General features: G+C 44.0%; 1 annotated feature.

The window, feature by feature from the left end:
* Positions 7987 to 8056: an enhancer, noted in NCBI's record as "active region_22028". NCBI's record gives its function as "activates an Ori minimal core promoter by ATAC-STARR-seq in GM12878 lymphoblastoid cells {active_cell/tissue: GM12878}" and the evidence as "EXISTENCE:reporter gene assay evidence [ECO:0000049][PMID:35858748]".

Raw genomic sequence — 9450 nt, 5'->3', positions numbered from 1 at the left:
GCAAAGGCCAGCTGTATTAGTCTGTTTTCATGCTGTTAATAAAGGCATATCTGAGACTGGGTAATTTATAAAGGAAAGAGGCACAGTTCCATGTGGCTGGGGAGGCCTCATAATCATGGTGGAAGGTGAAGGCACGTCTCACATGGTGGCAAACAAGAGAAGATAATAAGAGTCAAGTGAAAGGAGTTTCCCCTTATAAAACCATCAAATCTCATGAGACTTATTCCCTACCACAATAACAGTATGGGGGAAATGACCCCCATGATTCAATTATCTCCCACTCTGTCCTTCCCACAACACTTGGGAATTAGGTGAACTACAATCCAAGATGAGATTTGGATTGGGACACAGCCAAACCATATCACCAGCTTTCTCTTAGTCAAAGGCCGAGTATTTCTTACATAGGTTACTCACATTATTTCCTCTTATTTTGTTCCATTCCTGTGTTCCTTTTTTTCCCTGACCATAAACATCACCAAGGTTGGCCAATCTCCTATGCACCTGCCTCATTTCTTCTTCCTACAGCTATGGCAGAGCCTCCTAGTTGACCATGGCTTTCTTTCCCCCTGAGCCCACACACGGTCTCAGCACATTTTTTTCACATGCACTCCAGTGACCTTGACCCTCAGCAGAAACTAGATTTCAGGACGGAACTCATCATCCACTCTGAGTAGGCCCTAGAGAGACAGTGTCTCATAGCCACAGTTTCTCTCTAGCTCACCACGCATAGTAGATGCTCAAAAACTATTTGGTGAGTGAATGAAGAGACATGACTAGTAATAGAACCGTAGTAAATTCATCTGGAAACTTACAAATAATCTTGGAAGAGGGAAGACAAGATTCTAAGATAGTTTGAATTATTTACGTGCCCTATCTGTTCCATTCTTTGTTGTGCTCAATAACAAAAACAATAGATAGCTAGCTATAGTTGGAAAACCCATGTATAGGTTAATATTGTAAGAAACAACAATATAAGGTTTTTAGAAATGGTATGCAAGATTAATGTCAGCTAAAATAATACTTCTAATAATGTTTTACTGTTCATTATAGAAAATCTGGAAAATAGACAAAAGTAAGTAAAAGAAATCAGAAATCACAAATAATCCCACCCAAATAAATACCATAACAACTGTTAATATTTAACCTTTATGGTCTTTTTTGGATATACAGAATTATAACTTTAAAATGATTTTTCTTCCTTCCTCTTTCCTTCTTTCATTTCCTTTCTCTCTTTCTTTATTTAGACAAAATTAAGATCGTGCTATGCATAGTCCTGCAACCCACCTTTTTTCACTTAAAAATTCATGTTGAACATCTTTCCAGATAAATGTCTACAATTTAGTGCTCAGAAATGAATTCCTAGTTTTCCATCAGAATGCAATTTTCTCTTTGGGGTCAAATGCTGGATAGTAACAAACCAACATCTTCCAGAAAATGCCTTCGTATAAGGCATGTTAAAAAGAACTATCAAATTTTCTGCTTCCCCACCTTTTCCCAGCCCCCAAATCACTAACAAGTGAAAAATTTCTGCTACCATTGAGATGACATTTAAGTATCAATAATTCTATTGGAAGGAAGTTCGTGGTTGTGTGAAAAAGAGAGCCTCTCAGCTGTTCTGTGAAGGAAATGAACATTTGATTTTCTGTGGGCCTTTTCTAAACTGGAACAATCCTGCAAGCAGGAAAGCAGAGAACAGTGCTCTCTCCTCATGGGGAGCAGCAGTAACTTGGGACCCACCACCTGCTGTGGATGGCAGTTGGCTCTGGGTTTTTTTAAGCACCCCAGGAGGGCTGAAATGGTGCTACCCAGAAACCACATCAAAACGGACCCAGGGCCTGCAGCAGCACAGTCAGCATGGCCTTACCCAGCATCAACCTCCACCGCAGGTGGCAAGAGCAGTCAGATCTAAAAATCATATCCGCTGCTTCAGTAAGTCAGGAAAGAAGAAATCTGCAACCGGAGGATTGCTATGAAGAAGATGCTTCAAAGAAACCAGTAATGAATAGGATGATTCCATTCTACACCATTAAGTACAGCCCTGAAGCCTGTGGACAGAGAATACCTGTAGAAGGGACCATGCCTGTGCTCCCTTTAGCTTGGCAATTTCTTCTTTGAAGCCTCACCGGAGTACAGACAGAGGGCCAGGAGTGCCTCTAGCTCTTTGCTTGAGCTGCGTGTTTGACCATACAAAGAAACTGCATCTCCACATCTAAGATTACCTCTCTGATGTGCTTGTCTACAGGGAGGGCCATACCTAACTAACCCAGCCCCCAAAAACAGCTGCCCACCCTACTCAGATGATTTCCAAGGAAGGAGGTTGTTCAAAGACCCCTGGAAATCTTTCCAATGGCTCATAACCTGAGTAGGTCATAGCCCTAACCTCTTTGGCTGCTGAGAAATAGTCTCTGGCCTTGTCTTCAGTAAAAGAGAGCATCACCCTTGCAAAACTCTCCCTTTGTACCCTCAACTCAAGCTTCCTTGTCTTGGTGAGGGATTGCTTAATTAGTGGTAACAGAAACCTACTCAAGCTAGGTGAAGAAAATAATAAAAAGTATTAAGATACCGAGTTATCTCACAGAATCCAAGGGCTGAAATGCAGCTGAGTCTTGAATTGCAAATTCCAATGGGGCCTGGAATTTACAATATGTAAATTGGAAATGTGCTTGATGCGAGCAACCAAAACAAATAAATAAACAATAAAAAAGAAACAAAACAACGACTAAACCCCAACAACTAGTTATATTGGCTTAAACAATCAGAAGTCTTATTTTTCTCATGAAATAATTTCAAAAGTTGCACTTATCCATGTCATTAGGAATTCAGGGGTGGAGCTTTTGTCCACCCTTGAATGGTTGCAAGGTGGCTGCTGATCATCAAAGGAGGAGGTCTGCATCCTAATCTGGAAAAAGACACAGGGACATAAAATGAAAAGGAATGTTAGACACATCTAACCTTTTGGAAAGCTCTCTGAGAGTTTCCACCCAGTGATATCTCATTGGCTAGAATTTAGCCACTTGGTGATCCATGACTGAAAGAAAGATGAGAAAGCTTTTTTTTTCTTTTATTATACTTAAGTTCTGTGATACATGTGCAGAACGTGCAGGTTTGTTACATCGGTATACACATGCCATGGTGATTTGCTGCACCAATCAGCCTGTCATCTACATTAGGTATTTCTCCTAATGCTATCCCTCCCCTAGCCCCCCAACCCCCCAACAGGCCCCAGTGTATGATGTTCCCCTCCCTGTGTCCATGTGTTCTCATTGTTCAACTCTCACTTATGAGTGAGAACATGCAGTGTTTGGTTTTCTGTTCTTGTGTTAGTTTGCTGAGAATGATGATTTCCAGCTTCATCCACGTCCCTGCAAAGGATATGAACTCATCCTTTTATGGCTGCATAGTATTCCATGGTGTATATGTGCCACATTTTCTTTATCCAGTCTATCATTGATGGGCATTTGGGTTGGTTTCCAGTCTTTGCTATTGTTAATAGTGCTGTAGTATATATACGTATGCATGTGTCTTTATAGTAGAATGATTTATAATCCTTTGGGTATATACCCAGTAATGGAATTGCTGGATTAAATGGTATTTCTGGTTCTAGATCCTTGAGGAATTGCCACACTGTCTTCCATAATGGTTGAACTAATTTACACTCCCACCAACAATGTAAAAGCATTCCTATTTCTCTACATGCTCTCCAGCATCTGTTGTTTCCTGACTCTTTAAAGATCGCCATTCTAACTGGCACGAGATGGTATCTCATTGCAATTTTGATTTGAGAAAGCATTTTTTTTTAGTAGGCCAATTGTGACTTCACATACAATCTGTTTCTGCTGGTAAAGAAGAAAAAGAAAGGGATATTGGGTAGCAGTTATCTCCTGCAGTGCAACAAATGACCTTAAAACCTAGTGGTTTAATGCAACAACCACTTTATTTTCTTGTGATTTTTATGGGCCAGGAACTAGGGCAGGGCTTAGGATGGATGGTTCATCTCTTCTCTACATGTCTGGGACTTCACATGCAATGGCTCAAACACCTTAGTCAAGCTGGTGTGGCTGGGTCTCTCCCCTCTGACGGTGTCAGTTAAGGTAGCTAGACTGTCCTGGGGCATCCAAAACAGACTCACTTGCATGTCTGGGGCTTGGTCTTTGCTGTGGGCTGGGACCTTTCAGTTCTCCTTCACATAAATTCTCTCTCAGTACATGGTCTTTATAGTTCAGAAACCAAGGCCATGCATTACTACATTTGATCGGCTTCCAAGAGGGTGAAAATGAAAACTGCAAGGTCTTTTAAGGCCTGTCCTGGAAATCACACAGCATTACTCTCAACACACTCTCTTGGTCAAAGTAAATCATAAGACCAGCTGAATTTAAGGGCAGGTGAACAGACGTCACCTCCTGATGGGGAGAGCAGCATGCACGCACCGGGTTGGGAGGACTGTTGGTGGGCATCCTTGCACAGAATCTCCTTAGCCAGCCACAGACACCAAGGTTGCTCGCTCTTTCTTCCTGTCCACATGGCACTTTGCCTCTGCTTTTCTCTACAGGTCTATTCATTCTTTCCCTGCATTCTCTTTTTCTCTGAGCATCCAGCTTAAACATAGCTGCCCTAGAAAGGGCAAACAAACCAAATATCTTAGACTAGGTAGCTTATAAACACAAGTTTATTGCTCACAGTTCTGGAGGCTGGGAAGTCTGAGATCAAGACACTGGCAAATTCGGTGTCTGTTGAGGACCTGTTTCCTGGTTCATAGAAGGCCATTTTCTCGTAGAGTCCTCACATGGCAGAAGGGACCAGGGATCTCTCTGGGGCCTCTTTTATAAGAGCATTAATCTCATTTATAAGGGCTCCACCCTCATGATCTAATAACCTCCCAAATGCAATATCTCCTAATACCATCACCTTGGGAGTTAGGATTTCAATATATGAATCTGGGAGGGTGGTCACAAACAATAAAATCATGGCACCTTACCTTTATGAGTTCTGAATCTATAGCCAAAAAATGAGTTGCTGAATCCCTATTCCTCTAACAAGTGGTGTAGGGGCAGTTAAAAAATCACTAGGTGATCCTCTCCTCTAGACCAGAAATCTCAATGCCCTTAGGTATTTCATGAACATTTTTCTACAGCTCACTTGGGAACTAACCTTCAAGAAAAAGGCATTACCCAATAGTAGGTATTCGACAGTGTGTGTGGATGTGGATAATGTTGAATAGCAGCATAAAACCATTTGGAGAGCTTTTAAGAAGCAGTCCATGAACATGTAGTTTATATTTTGATTTTTAAAGCTCTAAATCAAAAGAAAAACCAATTTCTATCAGAGTCCATTGTTTTCTGATGGGTGAGGGGGCGATTTTTTATCTTGATGCCTTTCTCTGCACACACACACACACACACACACACACACACACACACACACTACGCTCTGTTACCAGGTAAAAGCACTGTTTCCATAAACAGCAAAGAGACAAGCATCAAAGAGGGCATTCACCTTGTCCAAGTGAAGAGGGCTGCATGTAGAGAATCAGTGCCTCTCTAATTCTATACAAACGTCCTTCTGGTCCAAGGATGGGTGACAGAGATCTAGGCACCTCCCTACTTTTGGAAACAACTGGAGTAGGGTTTCTTAATCTGAAGTTCGAGGAAAGTGTGAACTTCCTGAAATTATATACAACTTTTAGCATGTGTGTTCATTTTTCTGCCCTGGTATCTGTAGCTTTTATCAGATTTCCAAAGAGGTCTATGAAACCCCTTTTCCCTCTCTCTCCAATCACCTAAAGCCAAGACCTGTTGAGAATGAACAAATACCCCTCAGGGTTTGTGGTGACTGAATGATACATGAGATTTATTGGGGTCACTTTTTAAAAATAAGGGCCTGCTTCTGCTGGGGTGCTTTTCATTCTGTTACATGAGGGACAGATATAAAAACAGTCATCATCAAATGAGGGCAGTGCAAAGGGACCCAGAGCTCAGTGGAAGCACAAGGCCAGGGCTGATGGCTGAAGATTCTTTTGCTGTTGAAACACACAGAGGTTGGAGAGGTACAGCCTTTTTAAGTTTGGCAATCACAGCAAAGCTTGTCTGCTTCCCTGCTTCCCTGAGCAGGGACAGAGTGGTCCCTTATCTGAGACGCTTTATCTGAGATGCATGTGGATTCAGCCAGTCGGTCTCCAGGCTGAACCCAGCATCTCGCTGGGTCGTTGGGCTCTCCTTGTGTCCCAGAACGGGGTCTGTTAGAAGTGGGAAATTGCTGGACTGTTCCAAAGGCATTCCTCCACCCTGTGATGCCACTTCCTTCTCTTCCAAGTATAACTGGGACATATAACCTAAAACAAGCAAAGGGTATCTCCCCTGACAATAGTCACAGGCTTCCTCTCCTTGCAAAATCCTTCTGCTCAAGGCACACCCCCTGCTGTCCTCAAATCTCCATTTCTCAGTGAGAAACTTGTGTCTCTGTAGCGCATCCCTTGCCCTCCTTTGTTAATGCATCTGCTCCTTCATGCTCTGAAGTGGAGGCTGGATGGGATTCACAAAGCCATCGCCCACAAAGACCCACGAAGCAAACTACCAGCAGAGATGCACAGGACAGTGAAAGTAACAAAGGGGGAAACTCTTCTCAAGAGGATTCACTTTCTTCCTCTGTCCACCTGCTCCTCTGTCCCTCTTGCTGAGGCTGATTTCCCAGAACTCATTTCTGCTAGGTAGATAGCAACCAGAACATCAATTTCCGTTCAATGCCGGCAGCCTCGACAGTTGCCATCCTCCATTCAAACATGTGAATGCTCTGCCTAAATTGCACATTTCTCATTTAGCACACCTTGAAAGGCTGTGCTGTCACTCGCTCATAATCTTGGAGCAGAGTGTTTGCACGAGCCGCGGATGGCACCGGGCAGCTCCGTGGAGGTGTCAAAGCAGCAAAAGGGGACACTTGAGCAGATCAGCTTACTTCACAGAGAGACATCAGCTTCAGCAATTAGATTTCTAGAAACCTGATGACGAGGAACACATACAGATGCTTGCTAACCACTATTGAAGAGAGTTCTGTGTGTGTGTTTTAAGATGCTTAAAAAGAGTTTCTGTTGTTTCCTGCAGGAGAGGACTGAAAACAATGGTATATTTGTCATATACCATCTGTAGAGTGACCTTTACCTCTGGATGACTCTAGAGTTTTCAGTCAGCATCTGTTGCTGTTTCCTAGCTCTTAGGGAGGCTGAAGAAGTCTTAGTAAGCTACCTGCCCCTCTGAGGCCCCATTAGACTCTATGGGTACAAATATTTCAATGGCACTTTCACATATATTCTTATAGCTCATTCTTCCAGCAACCCTATGAAGTAGGTATTAAGAGCTCCATTCTTCAGATGCAGAAACTGAGGCTCAGAGAAACTGGGATACTTGCCCAAATTCACACAGCTAGGAAGGGGCAGGGCCTGGTTTGTTTTGAGGTCTTCCAAAGTGAGTCCTGGGTATAGCCCACCTGACCCAAGGCAGCCCCATTCTCAGGCACCTCAATAAGACTTAAGGTGCTGAATAATATTAGGGTTGGAGAATTTCATTCCCTGCTGTCTTTTTCTTTGGACTTGGCTGGATGCACTGTATTCTTTAGTCTCTTGGCATGAGAGGAAGTAGACAGTGATGACAGTATTCTGAGACTTAATTAACTAATGTCTTTAACATTCAGCTGCCTTGGGCAAAAAGTTCTATGCTACAATATTCTCAGAAAATTCTATGGACAGAGGATCTAGCTTTTCAATTGCAAAAGTCCTTTATTACAAGGGGGTTGGGGAGGCGGGGTGAGGAGGTCTTCTCTTATGCAGCCAGGCAGGGAAGAGAGTTTGGCATCAGAGAGCAGAAAGCCAGCTGCTGGCTGCCACCACCACGCAATCTCAGGAGCGAGGAATGAGAAGTGACTCAGACCAGCCCTCACTCCCACTCCCAAGGAGAAGTGGCTCTCAAGGTGCCATGTGACGGACAGGTGACCTTGATCAGGATGACTTGCTTCCTTATTGTGCAACAACGTCTCAGTGTGGTGTAGGGGAGCACTGCCCCCTGAGATTTGATGTCTCAGCCTTCATGATAAACACGGCTAAATGAATTAGCAAGAAAAGAATTAATAGCAAGAAAAGAATTAATCGAATTTGATAGAGATTGTTTTGCTTATCTTGTCTTTGCTAACAAAACCGAAACAATTCTGGAGTTGTCATGGGCTTTTCTCTTCCCCCTTCTTTTTGACAAATCTCCCACAATACTCAGTGCTGGGAGATGCCCAGGCAGGAGCTTGTACTGCAGATCACATTGCAAGCCTTGCCATTTCAAGGCCTCCTTGGAGACGGCTTTTTATTTGCCACTGAAGCCTGGGGATTACTTTGATATGGGGGCCACATGGCTTACCATTGTTTCTAAGCAGAATCATAATCCAGTCTCACTGATTAAAAAAAGAGGGATGGGGCAGGCGAGAGCTGGAGGTTACCAGGATCAGGTCCAGTAAATCATGCCCATGTCAAAGGGCTACCCTTGAGCACCTAAAATGCCACCTGCACTCTCAGCCTAGGGAAAGCATTCCTTTCAGAGGGGAGGAGAGCAGAAGGAGGCAGCTTCAGTGTGGAGTTTGGGGCTGTTGCTGTAAGGCTGAAATTTCATAGGAGGAAGATGAGCTGATGAGGTTGAAAATAGCTGTTTTCATTTCCTTTAGAAGAGCCCCCACACTCTTGTCCCAACGCTCAGTAACCCTGTGACACGCTCACGGGCTGTCATCATCAACATACTTAATGATCCTGCCCCAACTGCGCAGGCCACAAATCACTCTGCGGAGACGCTGTCTGAAAGGCTGCCCAAGGTGTCTGCATTCCTCGACTTGAGACAGGGGAGGAAGACTGGGGCTCGGGTAAGGACTCTCCTCATGTAGTCACTGAATGAGGCGGCTGACCCTAATGTAAAAGTCGAAGCCGAGAGATAGAGAGAAAGAGAGAGGCAGGGGGAAAGGGAGATAGAGGCATCTGGAACAGCAGAAATGCTTGAAGTACTGCTCTCTCCCTTAGGGCCCTGGTGCCTTCCTTTTCTGCAGGGTCACGGGAGTGACTGGAGTGGAGGCTTGATGGGCAGCTCACTGTTGGAGAAGAGGAGGTTAGGAAGTAGGGCTGAGGCAGGAGCAAGGAGAATTGGGGCCTGTGGTTTCCTCTTTGGGAACCTCCAGCCCAGTGCCCACTTGTGATTGCTTTAATGATTCGAGCAAGTTTGCTAAGACCCCTCCAATCTGCCTTTCCCAAGGATCACATTCAGTTCCCAGAGGTTTCCAGGGGCAAGGATGGGAATCTAATTGATGTGTCTTACCATGAGAGTCCTTTCCTCTTCTCTCTATCAAATAGGGATTAACAGTGTTTGTGGGAGGATTTTTTCCCTCTCACCTCCAGTCACCCCACAGCCACCTTGTTCTTTGCAGCGAGGGAGGATT

Source organism: Homo sapiens, chromosome 4 (genome assembly GCF_000001405.40).
Source record: "Homo sapiens chromosome 4, GRCh38.p14 Primary Assembly".
Classification (NCBI taxonomy): Eukaryota; Metazoa; Chordata; class Mammalia; order Primates; family Hominidae; genus Homo; species Homo sapiens.
The sequence above is the reverse complement of the archived record's forward strand: the minus strand, read 5'-3'. Positions and strand labels throughout refer to the sequence as shown.